The sequence below is a fragment of the Homo sapiens genome, chromosome 7 (assembly GCF_000001405.40).
Source record: "Homo sapiens chromosome 7, GRCh38.p14 Primary Assembly".
NCBI lineage: Eukaryota > Metazoa > Chordata > Mammalia > Primates > Hominidae > Homo > Homo sapiens.
Genome location: NC_000007.14, coordinates 105992952 through 106014553, shown reverse-complemented (window position 1 = coordinate 106014553; position 21602 = coordinate 105992952). Strand labels below are relative to the sequence as shown.

The following is a 21602-nucleotide window of genomic DNA, read 5'->3' as shown; positions in this document are numbered from 1 at the left end:
AAACTCGTGGCCTCAAATGATCCTCCCATCTCAGCCTCAAGTAGTTGGGACTATGGGTGTGCACCACCATGCCCAGTGTCACATAACTTTTGTTATAGTATTTTGTTATACTTTTTCTATTTTATTATTCACTATTATTGTCAATACTTACCGTACCTAATTTATAAATTAAACTTACCATAGGTATCTATGTATAGAAGGAAAAAACATAACATATGTAGGGTCTGGTACTATCTGTGGTTTCGAGCATTCACTAGGGGTCTTGGAACATATCCCCGGTGGATAAGGGAGCACTACTGTATCTAAAATTCATATGCAGGCTAGGCACAGTAGCTCATGCCTATAATCCCAGCACTTGGGGAGGTGGAGGTGGGAGGATTGCCTGAGACCAGGAGCTTGAGAAAAGCTCTAGAAAAAGCTAAAAAATAAGCCAGGCACAGTGGCGCACTCCTGTAGTCCCAGCTGCTAGGGAGGCTGAAATGTGAGGATCACTTGGGCCTAGGAGTTCAAGGCTGTGGTGAGCTATGATTGAACCACTGCACTCCAGCCTGGGTGACAGAGCGAGACATGGTCTCTTAAAAAAATAATAAAAATAAAAAATACCTATGCATATATGTATAAAATACACATAAAATATATCTATAGAAAAAAGAAAAGAAGGACATGTACCAAACTACTAACACTGGTTATCAGTGAATGGTGATGCTTTTCTGTGCTTTCTATATTTTCTACAGAGAACATGTATTAATTTCCTAAACAGAAAAAAATAGAAATTATTTTTAAGATGGTACTATGAATAAACTGGGTGAGATGTTCTTGGGGATTGAAGAAGGGCTTGGGATGGGAGGTGGAGAAGAAAGCTGGGTGAGGGGAAGGGTAGCGGGTTGCTGGCTTCCCTCCCTGAGGCTGCTGCTTTCCCAGCCCTTTCATTTTTCTCTTCTCCTTCCCCACCACCTTCCAGCAGTAGCTCTGTAAGGAAAGGTCTAACTCAAATCATTGGGACCCACTTTTCATGCCCATCCTTCTTCCAATGCAGCTTTTGTCCCTTGAAGTTGCCAGGGAGGGGGCTTCCTACACATCCTCACTGTCTCACTCTCCTCTGGTCTCCAGTGGTTCTACGGTGTGGAATTTACCCAGACATACTCAAGGTCCTGGCCCTGCTTTCTCTCACCTCACAGCTCTATGGGCCGGGAATGAGCATTCAAATAAACAAAAGTGCCTGAGCACAGAGGGCACTGACGTGTCTGTGAAGGCACGCTAAGCAGGCACACAAACTGCATGCTATGCAAGGAAGAATCCAGTCCTCAGCAGCCCAGGCACAACTATGTGTAACAAATGATTCCTGGAACCAGGGTAAAATAAAGAGCGAATGGGGAACACAGACTCACTATTAAGCCTGTCAGTTACAGTCGCTCTGAGAGGGGGTTACCTTGGAAATTTCTCTCTATGGGGCAGCAAAAGCATGATGCATGTTGGACCAATTCCCGATGCCCTTTTAATGATGCAATGACCATTAACTGACCACAATCTTCCCAGAGCCAGCTGGATCCTGTAAAAATCTGCTGCCGCTCCCCACTCCAGATGGCATGGTGAAGTTGAATCTGTTGTTTGGTGCCTCACTGTCATCATCAAAGCAGAACTTGTTTAGGTCAAGAAGCAACGTCCCCTTGGCTGTTCTTTCCGGCACCATAATGCTGGTGAAAAGACACAATCCAGTATTTCCCCCAATAAATGGTAATCGACTGTTCCTTCTCACATGGGCCCTGGGCTAGACACCTCTACTTTAACTGCAATTCAAAGTAAGTCCATGGTCATTGCAGTCACCTCCTAACTGGTCTCCCTGATTCTGCCCTTGCTACCTTTTGGGCTATTTTAAACACAGCGGCCAGAGGGATCCTGCTAACATGTTGTCAGATCACGTCACTCCTCTGCTCCTAAGTCCCAAATGGCTCCTCATTTCACTCAAAGTCCCACCTTTGATCTGCAGGACGCTTCATGACGTGCCCTCCTTTTCCTCTCTGAACTCGTCTCCCACTAGCTCTTCTCCTTGTTCACTCTCCTCCTGCCACTCTGGCCTTCTGGTGCTCCCTGAGCTCTTCATGAGGCTCTGGCCTCAGCTTCCCTGCACTAGCTGTGGAATCCTCTCCCCACAAATACTCACGTGACTCCCACTTTCACTTTCTTTCATCTATCTAATCAAATGTCACCTTATCAGTGAGGCTACCCTATCTAGAATGGCAATGTTCCCTGCCCGGTACTTCCTCTCCTATTCCCCTCTTTATTTTTAATTCCTAGCACACATCATTATCTGGTACACCATATATTTCTCTTATTTATTCTGCTTATTTTCTATTTCCCTCCTAGAAAGTAAACTCTATGAGGGCAAAGATCTTTGCTTTTTTCTTGGCACACTCAATAAGTATTTGTTGAATGAATGAACAATAGACTTATAAGACTAGCACAGTAGTGAAGAAGAATAGAAGAGAAATATAAATTTTACGTCCTGCCTGAAGGAGTTTCTAACTGGGCTAGGGAGAATCCCTGTACCCCTCATTTCCCATGCTTTGAAGATTGAGAATTCCTTGACTTCTGTTCTAGTGGCTTCAATGGCCTAGAAGGGCCTCCTAACACCTTTATATTATTCATCCAAAAGAGATTTATTAATGATCAAATTCGGGGGTCTTGATCTCAGTAGACTCCAGGGTTTAGGCAAATAACACAAATGAGTAAAGCTACCCCCAAACTCAGAGCCTTCCGATCAAGCCCAGCTTGCTGTAGGAGGCTCTGAGGAAGACCAATGAACACCTTGAGACTTCCATTCATTGAGGGGCTTTCTCATGTCTCCAGGTTTCAGTTCCTCCATCTATAAAATGGACATAAATGATATCAATTAGTTTTTACTACATAACACACTGTCCCAAAACTGAGTGAATTAAAACAACAAGCATTTATGGTTTCTCACAGTACTATAGGTTTTCCCACAGTCCTTTCGGTTTTAGTTTGGCTTAGCTGGTCTCTGTGGTCACTGACAGCTTGGCTGGGGCTGGACAGTCTAGGATGGCCTCACTCACATGCCTGGTGGTGGGAAGGTGCTTGATTTCTGCTTCTTCTTGTCCTCATCTTCTAGGAGGCTAGTCTAGGCTCATTGCATGGAGGTCTCTGGTTCCAAAAGTAACAAGAGAGGGCAAGTCCCAAGGCACATGCATTTTTCAAGCCTCCGTTGTGCCATGTTTGTGAATGCTCCAGTGGTCAAAGCAATTCACGTGGTCAAGCTCAGATTCAAGGAGACCCATCTCTTGATGGAGCTAATAGCAAAATCACATTGCAAAGGAGCATGCATAAAGAGCAAGCAGGGAGGAATTTGCGGCTTTTCTTTCTTTTTTGTTTGTTTTGGCTACCTATCTTAATCATATTTTGCCTTGGTAGAATTTCTTACAAAAATATATCGTGGCTGTCATGAGAATGTGCCTGGAAGACCTTTAACCATGAGAGCATAACTGACCATCGGCCTCAGCTGCTGGGCTCTGAAATCCATCACTGTGTTTGTGGTGAGGCCACGTACCAACAACTGGTCATGGCAAAGATACTAAGGCTCATTCCTGTCCTATGTCAGTTGACACTGGCTCCAGGACCCCCAATGCCCTAGCTGAACACTCCTTAACTGCATGGCAGCCTAGAATATGTCCAACTACCTTTTCTCCCTCTTTCCTTCACTCAGATCAGCCTTGCATCATGATCTGATGACTTGCCCAGCCTTGTCCATCTCTCTCCCCATTTTCTGCCACAGGCATCTCCCCTAATAATAGCCTTGCACATTTAATCCCATCTTAGCATCTGGTTCTTGGAGCATACACTTCTCTCTGCAACCAAACTCTGTTCCCTTCTTTGTTCCACATCCTCTTTTCATGGCAGATAAAATCAGCTCTGGGCTCAGTGCATACGGAGCAAAGTCTGACAGCAAGAATGGTCATGGGCCACTGAGGATAACAGGTTTGCTTGCTGGAGCGTGTAATGGAGTCTCCACGATGCCTCATTGGCAAAGATCACCTCTGTATTTCAGCAGGATTGGAGTCTGAACATTCCTGCCTTGATTGCACAATGTCATGGTTTCATTCATAGGGACTTAGAAGAGACACCACTTATTAAACACCAACTGCATGCTGTATCATACCAAGCACTTTAAAAACACTATCTCTAATTTCCTCATCTCAGAGAGGTTTGTATTCTTGTCCCCACTGCACAGGGGAAGAAAGAGTGGTTCCGAGCATTTTCAAGGCCTGTCCAGGAAAGTGGATGTATCCAGACTTGATCCTCTGCAGTGTTAGAGTCACTGTAAACTTTAACTTCCATGCATAAGTATCCAGGCTCACAGATGGTTTGGGGATCTAAGCCTTGATTTCAACTCTGCAGAAGCCAGGAGATTGCATCATTTAAAGAATCCAAGGTCCCGAAGCCAGACATTTCAGGCACTCCAACAGAGGCCTCCTCACTTGGCCCTCCAGGGCTGCTTGGCCTGTTCTCTCATTCGTCCCTGACAGTTGGTATTCTTCCCCTAAACGCCTAACTTGGAAAGCCACTCCCCTCATTCAGCAATCCCTGCCTCAAAAGCGAGCTGCCCTCGCTCCCAGCCATCAGACCATGTTTCTCTCCCCATGCAAAGTTGACTGTGTCCAGCCCATTCTGAATCAGCCAAACTGCTCCGCCTCTTGCTCACAAACAGCTTGCAAAGCGCTTTCACTGAATCGCCTGACAATTTACAACCAGAGCGGGGGTTGTCACGTGCCTCGGATGCCTCCGTCGGGCCCTGGGCTCATTCATCATCAGCCTGGGAAAGCCTCAGGGGCCACGGTACGAAAGGCTGGGAGCCTGCAGGAGCCCGCGCGGGCAGCAGGGGGCGCCCGCCTCCTCCACGCCGCCCTCCTCCCTGCGGGAGCACAGCACACCGCCTCCAGCAGCCGCGCTGACCTCACCCGCTCTGCCACCTGCTCTCAAGAACTCCACAGCAGAGACCGCGCCCACAGCCTCCAAGGAAGGAACAAACATTCAAGAGCAAGTGTCAGAGACTGTGGCAGAACCATGCCATTGTCACTTTGTTCTGTTTTGACCTGCTTGCGTGCTTGGCTTTGACATAGTTGGACTGGAGAAGGTATAAGGCTGGGAGGATGGCGGGTGCTGCAGGTCAGGGCTTCTCAGCCCTCTCCGCACCCGCCCTTATGCAGCCTTGGGACGCGAGGCTGGGCTTTAGGCTGAAGACCTCCGCCCCTGGAACTGCAGAGGAGGGGTCCCTTTCGTTGCCCTTCCTCACATCTTGGCGTTCATAGGGTGGCTGAGAGTTCCTCCCGCTAGAAGAGCCCAAAGAGGGAACTTGAGCCTTGGTTAGATTATCTTCAGTAATAAATGCAGTTAGTCCAGCTACGGATTTCACATTGGCCTTCAGGGCTAATCTGGAGGGAAGATTATCAAGTGCAGGACTCTGTTTGGTCTTGCCTGGACAGTCTAGGATATTCGAATTGCAGTTTCACCAGCTAATATGGAACACAGTCTGCAAACTGTCCTCCCATACTCCAGGGGACTCTGGACTGCAGGAAGCCAAATATACAATTAACAGATATGCACTGAAGAGAGAAAATGGACAAGGAAGATTTGAGACAGCACAGCCCTCTCCAGGCATTCTCACTTCTTAACCTTCACCCCCTACCTCTTAGGGCAGAGGAACAAGGAAGAGCAGGAGGGCAGAAGAGGGCAGGAGCTTCCCAGGATGTACTGGAACCACCCAAGAGTTCTAGCACAGATTTAAAATGTCAAAGAAAGTGTAAGTGTGATGCTGCAAATTGTCTCCACTCCATCCCCTGGGCCCAGACATCTCTCAATTTATGCACGTAAAGGTGTGGAAGTCACAATCCTAACTACCCATGCAGCTGTCCCCACCCATCTAATGGACTTGTAGGGCTTAGGTTGGGATAGGAACCTACTACATGCTTAAGATTGTGACTGACGTTATTGGGGTGTCAGCAGGAAGCAGCTGGTGAATTAGGATCATTCTAGGAGGGGTCAGTAAAGGGACTATGAAGAAGGTGCTCACAGAGTATATGGAAATCTCATCAGATGGTGCAATATCTCAGGGCTCGTGAGAGTGAAGCACCCTTACCACCACTAGGCCCAGGGAAGCCAGTGGAGGAAGCAGGTCCTGCGACAGAGAGCTGCTTTTGGGAATGGAGATCTTCAGGCAGGGAAGGGATGCACCCAGCTCACAAAGAGAGAGCCTGACCCTCCTCTCCTTCTCTTTCCAGGACTCCCCATTGGCCAACTAGAAGCTGGAAGGCAAGGGAGTTGGTTGGTATCTGATATGGTTTGGCTGTGTCCCCACCCAAATCTCATCTTGAACTCCCACATGTTGTGAGAGGGACCCAGTAGGAGGAAATTGAATCATGGTGGCAAGTCTTTCCTGTGCTGTTCTTGTGATAGTGACTAAGTCCCATGAGATCTGATGGCTTTATAAGGGGGAGTTTCCCTGCACAAGCTCTCTCTTTGCCTGCTGCCATCCACGTAAGACATGACTTGCTCCTCCTTGCCTTCTGCCATGATTGTGAGGCTTCCCCAGCCACGTGGAACTGTAAGCCCATTAAACCTCTTTCTGTTGTAAATTGCCCAGTCTCGGGTATGTCTTTATTAGCAGTATGAAAATGGACTAATCCAGTAAATTGGTACCAATAGAGTGGGGCTCTGCTGTAGATACCTGAAAATGTGGAAGCAACTTTGGAACTGGGTAACAGGCAGGGGTTGGAACAGTTTGGTGGGCTTAAAAGAAGACAGGAAAATGTGGGAAAGTTTGGAACTCCCTAGAGACTTGTTGAATGGCTTTGACCAAAATGCTGTTCATGATATGGACAATTAAATCCAGGCTGAGGTGGTCTCAGATGGAGATGAGGAACTTGTTGGGAACTGGAGCAAAGGTGACTCTTGTTATGTTTTAGCAAAGAGACTGGTGGCATTTTGCCCCTGCCCTAGAGACTTGTAGAACTTTGAACTTGAGAGAGATGATTTAGAGTATCTGGTAGAAGAAATTTTTAAGCAGCAAAGCATTCAAGATGTGACTTGGGTGCTGTTAAAGGCATTCAGTTTTATGAGGGAAGCAGAGCTTAAAAGTTTGGAAATTTTGCAGCCTGACAATGCGATAGAAAGGAAAATCCCATTTTCTGAGGAGAAATTCAAGACAGCTGCAGAAATTTACATAAGTAACAAGGAGCTGAATGTTAATCACCAAGACAATGGGGTAAATGTCACCAGGGCATGTCAGAGACCTCTGTGGAAGCCACTCCCATCACAGGCCCAGAGGTTTAGGAGGAAGAAACGGCTTCATGGGCCAGGCCCTGGGTCCCTCTCTTGTGTGCAGCCTAGGGACTTGGTGCCCTGCATCCCAGCCGCTCTAGCTTTGATTAAAAGGGGCCAAGGTACAGCTCGGGCTATTGCTTCAGAGAGTGGAAGCCCCAAGCCTTGCCAGCTTTCATGTGGTGTTGAGCCTGCGGCTGCACAGAAGTCAAGAATTGAGGTTTGAGAACCTCCGCTTAGATTTGAGAGGATGTATGGAAATGCCTGGATGCCCAGGCAGAAGTTTGTTGCAGGGGTGGCCCCTCATGGAGAACCTCTGCTAGGGCAGTGCAGAAGGGAAATGTGAGATTGGAGTCCCCACACGAAGTCCCTAGTAGGGCACTGCCTAGTGGAGCTGTGAGAAGAGGGCCACTGTCCTCCAGACCCCAGAATGGTAAATCCACTGACAGCTAGCACCATGCACCTGGAAAAGCCACAGGCACTCAATGCCAGCCCATGAAAGCATCCAGGATGGAAGCTGTACCCTGCAAAGCCACAGGAATGGAGCTGCCCAAGATCATGGGAACCCACCTCTTGCATGAGCGTGACCTGGATGTGAGACATGGAGTCAAAGGAGATCATTTTGGAGTTTTAAGATTTGACTACCCTGCTGGATTTCAGACTTGCATGGGGCCTGTAGCACCTGCATTTTGGCCAATTTATCCCATTGGAACAGCTGTATTTACCCAATGCCTATACCCCCATTGTATCTAGGAAGTAACTAACTTGCTTTTGATTTTACAGGCTCATAGGCAGAAGGGATTTGCCTTGTCTCGGATGAGACTTTGGACTGTGGACTTTTGAGTTAATGCTGAAATGAGTAAAGACTTTGGATGACTGTTGGGAAGGCATGATTGGTTTTGAAATGTGAGAACGTGAGATTTGGGAAGGGCTGGGGCAGGATGATATGGTTTGGCTGTGTCTCCACCAAAGTCTCACCTTGAATTCCTACATGTTGTGGGAGGGACCTGGTAGGAGGAAATGGAATCATGGGGGCAAGTCTTTCCTGAGTTGTTCTCGTGATAGTGACTAAGTCTCATGAGATCTGATGGCTTTATAAGGAGGAGTTTCCCTACACAAGCTCTATCTCTTTGCCTGCTGCCATCCATGTAAGATGTGACTTGCTCCTCCTTGCCTTCTGCCATGATTGTGAGGCTTCCCCAGCCATGTGGAACTGTAAGTCCAATTAAACCTCTTTCTTTTGTAAATCGCCCAGTCACAGGTATATCTTTATCAGCAGCATGAAAACAGTCTAATACGGTATCCATCCAGGTCAGCGTCTTGGAGCACAGAGCAGGGTGGAGACTGGATCTAAAGGGATAAGTCAGGGGTGCATCCAGAACAGAGTTTAACCGTTTTGATATCAGACTCGAGGTCACATGGATCCTTTAACATTATACTGGGCATGCCATTTGGGACAACAGGGAGACATTCATGAGTATAATAAAGGAATTTCTATTTCTCCTGCTTCTCCTAGGCAATCCTGGTCTAGGGTCCTTTGTCCTCTGCATGTATTGGGTCTATGTCCAGAGTCGCCTGGAGAAAACTTACAAAACCACTCAAAGATAAACTCAGGAGACTCTCCCCATGGGGACATCTGGAGCTGAGACTCACCCTGATCTTCAGCCTTGCTCCAGATACAGGGCTGTCTCTTAGCAAGGGCTGCTGTGGAGTTGCTCCCCACAACCCCAATTCCTCCCAAAGAGCCCTCTTCAGCCTCTCAGGAGACCAGAGACTGGCTGGAACAAAACCTCAGAGACGAGGCTAATATGGGCAAGTACTAATCATGTGGCTTTTTGACAAAATAGTAGAAAGACAATATTGTTTTCAAAAAGCTTATTAACCCAGAATCACAAGGGACTTTATTGTAAAATAATAGCAAATAGATTGTAGGACAAAGAATGAGTCAAAATATACAAGATCACTTGTATCCCACTTGTATCTGCATTTTTTCCCTTTCGGATGTCTTTTGTTTATATTCAATTAAGTTGTGTAAGGTGAATTCGATGCTTTGTTTGGTTTTACCTAAGTACTTGGTTTGATTTATTCATCTGGCTGGTGGTATGTTTTCCTGGGAGTTCCTATTCACTGATCCTAAGTCTCAAACGTCTATTATAACTGCTAACTAACAGCCCCATCTTGCCACCCGTGGCAATAAACAAAGAACAGGCACAGTCCAGGGAGGGCCTAACAAGTCCCTGTGGTCCTTTTCACCAACAGAGATGAGCCAGATATAGAAGGGAGCAAAATAAAAAATAATTCTTAAGAGTAAGAAAGTGAACAAGGGAGATAATGAAGAAGGAAAATGAAAGAGAGGGAAGAAAAAAGGACGATAACAAGGAAACCTGTGGACAACAGTGAACAGTTCACATCGATTTATTCTACTGAGCTGTTTCTCCAAATGCTTATAATTCTCCTGAGAATATACCAGAGAAGCAGAAGGGCAGAGGGCCACCAAAGAGATAGAATGTCCAGCCCAACTTTCAAAGTGTGCATACCTGAAGGTGAACTTTTGGCATGTGGCAGGATTGTCGTTGACGTCTTCCACAATGAAGGTTATCTGGATGCGATTCTCCTGACCCCCATATGGTCTGTCCTTCACTAGAACTTCCAGGGAAATGGTGGGATTTTGTCTCAATTCACCTGCATCTCGGTCTATCCTTTGGGCCACTTGGATTGTACCAGTCACTGAGAAAGCAAAGGTTAGAACGTGACCCTTTGAAGAGAAATGAAAAGGAATACAGAAACTTGGAGAAAACTGGAAAAGACCATTCGAACATGAGGAAGAGCTTATGCAGAGCATAATCTCTATACAAATACATTTTTGAAAACCCATTAAGTTCCTGTGTTAGACATTCATTGGGGTATCTGGCCTGACCCTTCTAGGATTTTTCACACTGTACTTCAGAGTTGGGTCCCTGGTGGCGGCCCTTGCCCAGAGTGGACTGGACTGGTGAATAACTGACTCCAGCTTGACCCAGAGGGCTCTCTTATTGGAGAATTTATAACTGAAAGGCACACATTGGAGGATCAGTCAGGCTAATAGTGGAGCTACAGAACCAAGGTCCCTGGAGCAGCACTGGGTCACATCCTTTCTATGTCCCCATCTTTTTACATTTTCTTAAGAGATGCACAGAATCCTGTTGATAGATGTGCCTGCCTTTTTTTTCTTTCTTTTTTTTTTTTTTTTTTTTTTGGTTAGGTTGGTTTACCTTAGTTTCTGTTACCTGCAACCAAAAAATCTTAATAAATATGCTCAGAAAAAAACCAAAAACCTCACTCTACTTGTTAAAAGTTGAATTTCGCAACACTAGAGTGAACAGAATTCTCAACCATGGTTGTCCCTACACTATCAGCTGACAGGGCATCAGGATGTTTTCAGAGGCAGTGCACAATTATTGCCTTTGCCTGGCTCTCCTGGGAATAGGTGTCTTTTGCCCGAAAGCCTAAGGAGCCAACAGGACATTGTTTTTCTGGCATTGTCTAAGGCTGGACGTCCTTTTTGGTGATGCAATCAGGACTTATAAAGGTGGGACAGTCCGGTAGTGGTTAAGAGGACAGGCCCGAGGAATCAGGCAGCTTAGGTTGGTACTTCTGCTTCATGACCTACAAGCTGTAAGACCTTGAACAAATTGTTTGACCTGCCTGAGGCTCTCCCTAGGCCTCAGTTTCCTCATCTGTAAAATGTGAATGATGATAGTTCATTGAGTTGCTATCTTGAGTACTTGAGATGAGATGTATGTGAATAATCACTCAGCATAATGCCTGGTGTGTACTAAGGCCCCAGAAAAAGATGGTTATAGAAGAGCAGAGAAGTCCCCTTCAGAGATATTCAGATGGAAAAATAACTCCCATCAGTCTGGCAGATTGACCAAGATGACACTGTCCCATACAGTTACCACTAGTCACATGAGAGTTATTGAGCAATTAAATGGTGCTAATCCAAATTGAGATGTACTGTAAGTACAAAACATACAACAGTCTTCCAAGACTCGGTACCAAAGAAAATGATATGAAATATCTCATGAATCACTTTTTTTTTTTTTTTTTTTGAGACAGGTTTTTGCTCTGTCACCCAGGCTGGAGTAGAGTGGAATGATCATAGCTCACTGCAGCCTTAAACTCCTGGGCTCAAGGGATCCTCCTGCCTCAACTTCCTGAGTAGCTGGGACTATAGGTGTGTATCATGACACTCAGCTAATTTTTAAACTTTTAGTAGAGACAGGGTTTCACTACGTTGCCCAGGCTGGTCTCAAACTCCTGGGCTCAAGCAATCCTTTGGCCTCAGCCTCCCAAAGTGTTGGGATTACAGACATGAGCCACCATGCCTGGCCATGAATGACCTTTAAGTATTGATAACATGTTGAAACAATATTTTATACATGTTAAAAATACCTAATTAAAATTAATTTCTCCTATTTCTTTTTACTTGTTAAAAATGTGACTACTAGAGACTTTGAAATTACGTAAGTGGCTTCATTCTATTCCTATTGGACAGTGCTAATATAGCCCCTCTCTTCAGAAGACTTCAGGGAACCCTCAGGATAAGTAACCCATCCATCCTTACACACCTGCCTTTGAGAAAAAGGTGATGGGATTCAGGACATATTACCCCAAAATATGGCACCTTGGCATTTGAGAAAACAGCAGTTTTGAAGCAGTCATAAGAGCTTCATTCCAGAGGTAACCTACCTATAACTGGAGGAAAGGAACATCCTATTCTGGAAGACAGAGATGCCAGGAAGAATCTGAACAAACGGACCTTGCTAAATTCTCCCAGGTTTATCACACCCTTTTGTCCTCCAATCATACTTCTCCATAATTACTCACTTCATCAAACTGAGCATAAAAACACATGGGTTTCCCTGTTTCTTTGAGTCTTCATTTCTGAAGGCTCTGGTGTGACATAAACTTAACATTAAATGAATTCGTATGCTTTTCTCTTGTTAATCTGTCTTTTTTTATAGAGGTCTCAGTCACAAGCCTAACAATGGGTAAGAAAATAAATCTCTTCACTGCCCCCCACCCATCCCCCACAAAGGTGAAGGGTGACATAGCTGTCAACCCTGTTTAGTTTGCCCAACCCCCATGCCAGCTGCTTATAATACATCTATTACCTTGGTAACCAATGATGACCCCAGACAGAAAGACATGCCCAATACCAGAAGATAAGAAAAATACAATTGGCCCTTTGTATCCATGGGTTCTGCATCCTCAGATTCAACCAACTGAGGATTTAAAATATTCAGGAAAAATAAATGGCTGGCTGCATTTGCACTAAACATATACAGACATTTTTTTCTTGTCATTATTCCCTAAACAATACAACAACTATCTACATAGCATTTGGTATTATAAGGAATCTAGAGATAATATAAAATATACAGGGGGACATGCATAGGTTATATGCAAATACTAAGCCATTTTATAGAAGAAACTTGAGCATACGTGGATTTTGGTATCCACGGTGCATCCTAGAACCAATTCTCATGGGTAACGAGGGACAACTACATTGTAAGACAATCCACATGGCTGAATTAGAGGATGCACTTAAGGATGGAAGTGAGTGGCTTACACTGATTTATCATGAAATATTTGCTAACAGTGGTAATGCTGTAGAGGAGGTGGCTGGGAAAACCTTCATCATCAGGATCCTCCGCTGTGATATTGGCCACGATGGTTCCTGGACTCAGTTCCTCCAGGACTGTGTACACTCGTGTCGGGCTGGAACAGAGATACAGCAGACACAGCTAATTTCCAGGGGCACGGGAAGGTAGCATCTAGGCGATTGGTATTTTGGTTAGTGCTAAATATAGTGCAGAGCTGTTCAAGTTGCATCAACATGCTCAGAGGGAGAGCACAGCAGTGGAAAGGAGGGGTGGCTGGCTTTTGTATCCCCAAAGACCACATCCCTGTGGATGTGAAGAAAGTACCACGCTGTCATTGCAACAATTTACATGGGCCACAGTCTCTGACTCTATGCACCTCTGCCTGATGTCATTTCAGATCAGCCTTGGCATTAACGTCTTTTGAAATAAGGACAGGTGGCCTATCCAGCTATCTTTTCTCATTTTCCCACGTTTTGTGCAGATGTCCCTGGATTCTTTTAGATATCACTGTGTCCAGAGTTACATGCCAGGGTCATGTCCAGAGCTGCGGGTTCCCTCCCTTGTTCCTGACTCCCATCCCATGGCTGCCACCAGAAGCCAGAAAAATTGTAAAGCTTCTCTATTCTCATGTGTTTGCTCACTTTTTTTTCTTCCTTGTCTTTTTTTTTTTTTTTTTTGCCTGAGGATATAGAATTTATGCACAGAACTCGTGCACCTTTCCAAGTTGCATTAATCATGAGGTCAGCTCTCTGAACTGAGAAATAGGTCCCCTGAAGAAGACCAGGCCCCATCACTGTCCTTCTTGCAAGATAACCCCAAATCACCAACTTACCCATCTTCCTCAGACCTTCACCAATGCCTTTGGAACAGGCCAGTAATGAGACTGATAGGTTGGGAGTTTTAACTAACTATACATTGAGTAATTTTGAATGCTCTAAGGGAGGCTTATTGTTTAAAACAACTCTGCAGGAAGTCCTTTTGCTGAGGGAAAATCATTTCAGTGGGGCAAGTAGTCACCTCTAATTTCCCAGTTACCCAAGTGGAGGTCTTCCCATGTGGGATCTTCTTTGAAAGGGGTATAGTACCTCTCAGATCTAAGTGACGGCATTCCTTTCGTGAGCTCAGAATATTTCTGCTGTGCTATCTCACCATCCCTATAAGGTAGGTAGGGCCAGAGGAAGGAGAAATGGCAGGGAATCAATAGCTAAGTCAGGGGCAGTCAGAGAAAGGCAGGAACCAGGGCTTCACCCCAACCCTCCCTACCAGAGCTCCTCCCTGGATCCAGGGTCCCCCCACATCTATTCACAAGGTGGACTTCTGTGGGTATACTCCATTGCTGGAGGAGAGTAATCATGTTCAGCCTAAGGTCACCCCAGTGTCCCACTGAAACAGGCCCATTCATCCTTTCCCTTACTTGACATATCCCCTTCTCAGGCAATCTGTAATGCTGCCCCTGATGGATCTAGGAATAGACAAAGTGGAATGGGGCCAAAGAGGTGGGATGGCAGGAGCCAAAACCAGAGCCAGGAGGGAAGGATATGGCCCCAGCGCCCCCAGGCTGGGCCAAGCCCCTCGGTCCCTTCTGTGAATGCCCCTGTTGCTAATGTAGTATGTTTTTGCTTTGGTCATCATGAGCGGGTTCTGTTAACTTCCAAAAAAGAGGCCACTAAGATGCCTGTGCTAATCACACAGCCATGAGCTACTGCTCCAAGCATGCTCCTAGTAAAAGCATCACCAGGGAGCTGGTTAGACATGCAGACCTCAGGCCCACCCACCCCAGCCCTCTGAACCAGGACTGGCTTTTTCACAAGATGCCCAGCTAATCTGCATAGACTTTAATGTTTCGGAAGGATGATTATAAGGTGATGCCAGAGGTGGCAACCACAGGCTCCCAGCCTCCCCACGGGACAGAGAGAGGACACCTGGGGAGGAAAAGCCCCTTCTTCCCATCATCCCTCCTTCCTTCTCAGGCAGTGGTTCTCAGCTGGGGGGCCGGGGGTGGTGTCTGAACATGTTTGATTTTCACAACTAGGGGAGACAGCTACTATTGATGTTTAGGGGATAGAAGCTGGAGATGCTGCTACACATCCTCCAATGCACAGGACAACCCCTCTACAATGGGGTACCTGGCTCAATGCCAGCAGTTCCGCTGTTTAAGAAACTCTGCTCTGAAGGCTCATCTAGTCCATGCTGGGTGCTCCAGGAACCCAGATCCCCACGAAGGGAACTGGTCAGGCTACTGGCCACGATGCAGCTCCTCAGGCGAAATATTCTCTCCTTGGCTAACCTGACATTAAGCCTGGCAGGAGATAAAATCTTTAGTCTATTTGATTTTTGAATCCAAGATACAGGTATGTATAAAATATCATTCAACGGAGACCACAGTTAAGAGCTATTCAAAGCACAGTGAAGCTAGGTGCCATGCAGCTACCCTGACACAGTAAAGCTCTGCTACCACTTGTATTCCCACATCCTTCTTCCCCGTAACACCTGACCCCCAGAGCTTGGGCCAGTGGCCACACTCACAGGGAAGGGTGTGAATGCTGGGAAGCCATGGATGGCTTCACCACTATGAATGAGTATTCAGTAAGTGCCCAAGGTGTGCATGACACTGCCAAGCACCAGGTGGAAAAGGACTGAGTAAATACAAAAGAAATGGGCAGGAGGGGAGAAAGACCTACCTACCCAACTCTAAAATAAAGTGCTGTGCACACACAGCAAGCTCTGTGCACAGGGAAACAGTAAATATGTCAGGTGCTTTTTTTTTTTCTTTTTCTTTTTCTTTTTTGTTTGAGATGGAGTTCTGGTCTTGTTGCCCAGGTTGGAGTGCAATGGCATGATCTCAGCTCACTGCAACCTCTGCCTCCTGGGTTCAAGCGATTCTCCTGTCTCAGCTTCCTGAGTAGCTGGGATTACAGCCACCATGCCTGGCTACTTTGGTACTTTTAGTAGAAACAGGGTTTCACCATGTTGGTCAGGCTGGTCTCGAACTCCTGACCTCAGGTGATCCACCCGCCTCAGCCTCCCAAAGTGCTGGGATTACAGGCGTGAGCCACTGCACCCGGTGTGTCAGGTGCTTTTATAATAAAATGTTCAACTTCAATAATGGCAGACTCCTGGAGCATGCATCCTGAATCTATAAAGCTTTCTGACATTTGTCACCACCAGGGGTAAAATGGGGAGACATTTTCAAGAACAGACATAGGACTTGCTTTGGTTGTGTTAATTGCATGCGTTTAACAAATAGTAAAGATAGAAAGGCTGTCTGTACATTTTACATTTGTATTTCAGGCTCAAACTCAGTACACTTGAGTCTGTTTGAAGATTTAATTTTGTTAATCCTGAATTAAAGAAGTTATCGTTAGTGCTAGCACTGATTTACAGGAAAAGGAGGCTGAGAAGCTCAAGGGAACCATGAAAGCCCTCCAAGTCAGCACGTAGTTTGAAACCAAGCAAATCCTTTCAAATTTTGATGGCTGAGGGATGAGGTTGACCCTCATTGACTGCCTGAGCCAAGCCTGGGCAGCCACCCTGCCCCCACTCCTTCTTTTGGAGTGAGGCTCTGGCAGACACACCCTCACCTTCATCCAAGGAATGCTGTTTGAAATAAAGTCGACTGACTTAAAAAAAAAAAGACCGTCACACAGATCATGCTATCTGCTTGGGGATGGAGCCCAATATGTTCCTCTTTCAAACCTAAAATGAGAACCAGAGAGTTCCAGGCTGACCTCTGGGTGCATCCCACGCCAGCGAGGGTCATGTTCTCTCTCTCTCTCTGCTAAAAGTCAGTTTCTGTATTTTGGAAGATGTGATCCAAACCAGATGGTTTACAAGCTCTGCCCCTGGGGAGGACTTATTATTTTCCCCTTTGAAACCCCATTAACCTTCCTCCCCTCCTCCCAGATGGGACTTGTGGGGAAGGTGTCAAAGAATGCATCTGCTCCAGCCCTGCAGCCATCACCTTCCTCTGGGGGTTCTTGAAGAATCTGCAGAGCTGTGTGGGCCCATACCTGAGCCTGAGTCCGGGCTGGGATGTCATAACTGTTAATAAGCTGCCTAGACTTTGCTCCAGGAGCCACCTGTCAGCCCAAAGGCACTGAGCTCTCCTTCTGAACCTAACCCAGCATCAGGTGCTGATGGAAAGCATTACATAGCCATTTAATAGCAGCAGATAAATTGAGGGTCAAGGATTGAAAAAGGAACTGCAGCCCAGGCTGCAGGGCTGGAGCAGACGCATTCTTTGACACCTGCAACTGGACTGTAGACTATGTTAACATCCAGAAGTTGTGCAATTGTGGTGTTTGCCAAGTGGCACCAGGTTAGTCTGGGAGTGAGGTTGCCTTAAATACCTCGCAATCTTGGAGTAGTTTTGCAAGTCCTCTACCCAGCTCTGAGGCCTAATGGTCTTTTATTGGTGGAGTATCCTGTGCTGAATCTATTCATAACCGTTCATGCTGTTAAAGGTGATTTTGCCTTTCCTTGTGGCTGGCTTCTATGCCCATCTCAGGGACTGGGGCAGGCAGAGGCTCTGTAAGCAGTATGCCAGGCTGTTTGCAGTGCCATCTACTAGCTCAGAATCCCATCTTTTCCTCCTAAATCCCCATCTACAATAGGCTCAGATCTTCATTTTGTGCCTGGGATAGTGCCAGGCACATTTCCACAAACTACCCTCCACCCGATGCATTTACCCTTCCCACCTCTGCTGGACAGAGGAGCTGCCAGACACAGCCGGATCACTTTTCTGGATCCACCATGGCAGGAAGAAACTTTAGAGCAGCCAGTAACAGGCAGGCACCGTGAAAATAGCCCTCTCCTCGGTGTGAGGATAACATACTAGGAGCGGGCGTTAGGGAGTCGTGAGTGATGATGCATGCTCTGGGACTCTGCTGTTACTAAAGCGCGGCACTTTATTTTAAAAGCACCCTCTGCATGTGCACAGTGCAGGCCACACCCCGGGGCATGTGTCCACCCCTTCTCCCCACCATATCCAAAATCCCATGGTGCATGTGAATGTGTGGGTACAGGAGGCAGAGGCAGCAAAGGTGGAAAACAGCAGTCCAGAGGCCCAGATAAAGACTCTGAAGAGCACGTGCCTCTAATCTTTCCTGCAGGCCACAGCAAAGGGCATCCCTCTGCCTTGTATTAAATGTGCCGGAGGAGACGAGGCCGCCTAAGAAGGACGCACCTGCGGCCCAGGGAGTCCTGCATGCCCTCAGGCCTACCTGGTAAAGCGAGGGACTTCGTCGTTGAGGTTCACGATGTTCACCTGGAGCTCTGTGGAGGCTTTGAGGCCTCCACTGTCCCTCACCTCCACGATGAGATGGAAACTGCCAGGGAAACATTCCACGTGAGAGAATCAAGCTTTGCTGGCACTACTTCAAAATAGGATGGGGAAAATCATGGGGTGGGAGGAGTGAGAGCAGACCCTGCCCCTTTGGTGGTGAGCCTCTCCGTAATGCCCCCACAGTCTCAGGGCCTGCAGGGTGACCTTTCTCCCCCCGTCTCCAAACCCGCTGGCTGCTTCTCATTCTGCAGGGGCTATTCACCACCATTGTCCCACCAGGCCAGCATCTGCTCAAGCGCCATGCTGCACATCTATCCCGGTGTTTTTCACAAGATCTCTGGAAAGTGCATATCACTCCCACTGGAGGGAGTGAGGCCCCCATGGCTCACATGGCTAGCTCTTGTTCCCACACCCGACGCAGAGCCAGGAGCCTCACCTGCTTCACCCCAAGGCCAATGTGTTGTCATCCACTTCCCCTCATCAGCCCCTTTGCTTGGATGGCTGCCTTTCCCAAACAAGATGGGGTCTGAGAAATCTTGTATAGATCACCCTTGACATTAATGACTACATCTTAGAAAAAAAATGCCATCTTCCATTTCAAAAGGCATCAAGCCAACAGGGTCCAGATGGTCACCTAATCAATAAAGACAACACTCAACCAGATAAGGGCATAATCCTTTACTACCAGTCTTCGCCAGTGGACTCAAGGGCCATAAAACGAGCAGGACTTCACCGGCTCGACAAGGCCATCTTGACAGACCCTGTCTTGCTGTCACTTGTAATCAGCACCCAGCATCTGCCCAAATCAAAGACTCTTCCTTGCAAGACATTGATGACCATCTGGATGTGGCCAAGACACTCTCCGTGTCCACATCACCGTCCTTGGTCTGGTTTATTAACCTCTTTTCTCATGATGTTAAATGTTACTTTGTTTGATGTGGAATGTTTAATTTATAACATTTATGTGCTGATGAAGTATACTATGTATGGTTTACAATACTGACTGACCTGTGGAGTGGCTTGAGCCTATGTGCTCTGACTACTGAGTTAGCAAGAGGTCTAAGGAGAGTTGCCTCCTTGGGAATTCCATGTAGCTCATGGCTTTTAGGATTGAAGTAGCATCAGTGAAAACCTGACCTTATGGAAAGACACAAATGTGCATGGACCTGGTTATGTCTGACCTTGCACTGCTCATGACACTCTTGTACTTGGGCACCCTCTCCCATACTGTCATTCTTGTTCTCTGGAGACCAAAAGAGGCCTCCCAGACAATTGCCTTATTCCCCATCCCTCTCTGGGGTTCACTACCATCTGAACTTACAATGACGCTGTAGACTGCTCAAGGGGCTCCCCCCAGCTGCCCTCAGGTTGCACTGTGACCTATCCCTCATGTTTTCCTTGACCCTCAGATAAACAGTACTTCATGCAAGGTCAATAGCAAGACTACCTTCTGTGTCCTGCTTCAAAGTCCAATTCTGTTGTGGAGAAGAGGGTGCCATTAGCAGACATTCTGAAGCTCTTTGGGGGAGAAATCAGGAAATACTAAAAAACAAGGGAAAAAAATTGATGAAATCAGCCCACCTGCCCACCCTTCCCCAGAAGATGTGTGTGCTCATTTCCTATTTTATGTTCTTAGCCCATGGAACGTTCTCGATGCATCAGGATGCGGTTCAAAGAGCAGTTATCCAATTTAATCGCTCTTGAATACAGAAACTTCTGGCTCTGTTGGTCTGAGCCCTGGTTGACCACACCCTGAAAAGCTGGTGAGTGGATCTTGTTCTAACTACAGAAAGCATATAAAAGGCCCCTGTCAAGGCAGGCTCTGCTTCTGAGTCCAATCTTCTTATCCCTATCACTGTGTTCTCACTCCTGGACAACTTCTGGCTTTGATTCTATGCCTTGGCTTTAACCAACACTGTATTTAAATACAGTGTATTTAATACAGCTACTACCCACTAGGTAATAGGACTATACCTATTACCTATTTAATACAGCTACTATACCTATTTAATACAGCTACTACCCACTAGGTAATAGGACTATACCTATTACCTATTTAATACAGCTACTACCCACTAGGTAATAGGACTATACCAAAGTGAGTAGGATCTGGTCACTACCCTTAAAAACAACTTACAATATAGCAGGGCGCAAAATGCATGAGCATCAGTTATTGAAATGCCTGAAGGAACAAGGGACAAGGGTGAGCTGAGAATGAAACATAACAGGGCTTACAGTCCAGGTTGGAAGCCAGTTTAGGGATTCAGAAGAGCTGTTTTGAAATCTAATCCCTGGCACGTGGCATAAGGAAAGTCCTTCCTACATCTTTGGGTAGTTGAGAGTCTTTGTCATCATAGGCTTCCAGCCCAGCTCTCTTGATGACACCCTGCCCAGATCTCCTTGATCTGATAGGAAGAGACAGGTTTATGTGTACAGCCCGCTGAGGGTGAGCCCATAGGAAGACCATGCCCGTGCCACCCATGGCAGCCCATCAGGATTGCTCTGTTTCTTCCACAATGGAGTCAAGAAAACAGGGGAAGAGCCTGGATCAGAAGAGCTTGGTTCAAGGTCCAAGTTCTTCTTCTTCTTTTTTTTTTTTTTTTTTTTTTTTTTTTGTGAGACAGAGTCTGGCTCTGTCACCCAGGCTGCAGTGCAGTGGTGCTATCATGGCTCACTGCAGCCTCCGCCTCCCGGGCTCAAGTGATACTTGCATCTCATCCTCACGAGTGGCTGGGACTACAGGTGTGTGCCACCACACCTGGCTAATTTTTTTTATATTTTTTTTTGTAGAGACAGGGTTTCACCATGTTGCCCAGGCTGGGCTTGAACTCCTGAGCTCAAGTGATCCACCTGCCTCTGCCTCCCTGAGTGCTGGGATTACAGGCATGAGCCACTGCGTCTAGCTTAAGCTCTGGTCCTCACCACAAGATCTGGGACAAGTGCCTTTCTTGCCTATAACTTAGGGCTGATGTGACCAATTGCTCCTTCATGTTATTGAGGATTAAATGAGAATGCGTGCCGTAAAATATGAAGGATCGCAGCAACGCTAGAGACTCACATGTTTATATTCATTTCTTCCAAAGGGCTTTAAGGTTAGAAGGTTTCATTATTTCCTGCTAGGATGAGGGATGTTCTATCCTCAAGGCCTTAGATCTCTGGATCAGATCATCAGTGGAGGTTTTGCAACCACAGCCACAGCCCCTGAAGTCTAGAATCAAAGGAAACACCTGCCAAGGTTTCCAACCCAGCGATTTGCTGTGTTATGATCGCTGCTGAGCTCCCAGCACAAGAAGACAGTGTGCACAGAAAATAGATTAAAGGTCTCCTTTGAGGCCAATATA

The 21602-nt window shown here is 46.5% G+C and overlaps 1 protein-coding gene and 1 long non-coding RNA gene across 3 annotated transcripts in view, besides 1 other annotated feature; both read right to left on the bottom strand.

Annotated features, from left to right (window-relative positions):
* CDHR3 (cadherin related family member 3) overlaps nt 1–21602 on the bottom strand; it is a 73169-nt gene that overhangs the window by 21879 nt on the left and 29688 nt on the right. For both annotated transcript variants that reach the window (NM_152750.5, NM_001301161.2), the window contains 5 exons: nt 19709–19803; nt 18200–18304; nt 12944–13092; nt 9867–10056; nt 1523–1694 (listed from right to left, as the gene is read on the bottom strand). In NM_152750.5, coding sequence (NP_689963.2) covers nt 1523–1694; nt 9867–10056; nt 12944–13092; nt 18200–18304; nt 19709–19803 — 711 coding nt within the window. The remainder of the gene's footprint in view (nt 1–1522; nt 1695–9866; nt 10057–12943; nt 13093–18199; nt 18305–19708; nt 19804–21602) is intronic.
* Nucleotides 4804–4993: a silencer, noted in NCBI's record as "silent region_18525". NCBI's record gives its function as "represses an Ori minimal core promoter by ATAC-STARR-seq in GM12878 lymphoblastoid cells {active_cell/tissue: GM12878}" and the evidence as "EXISTENCE:reporter gene assay evidence [ECO:0000049][PMID:35858748]".
* On the bottom strand, nt 13562–18188 carry LOC107986833 (uncharacterized). Its single transcript, XR_001745316.2, has 2 exons — nt 15104–18188; nt 13562–14131 (listed from the first exon to the last, which is right to left on the bottom strand). It is a non-coding gene; the product is annotated as an uncharacterized LOC107986833 (long non-coding RNA).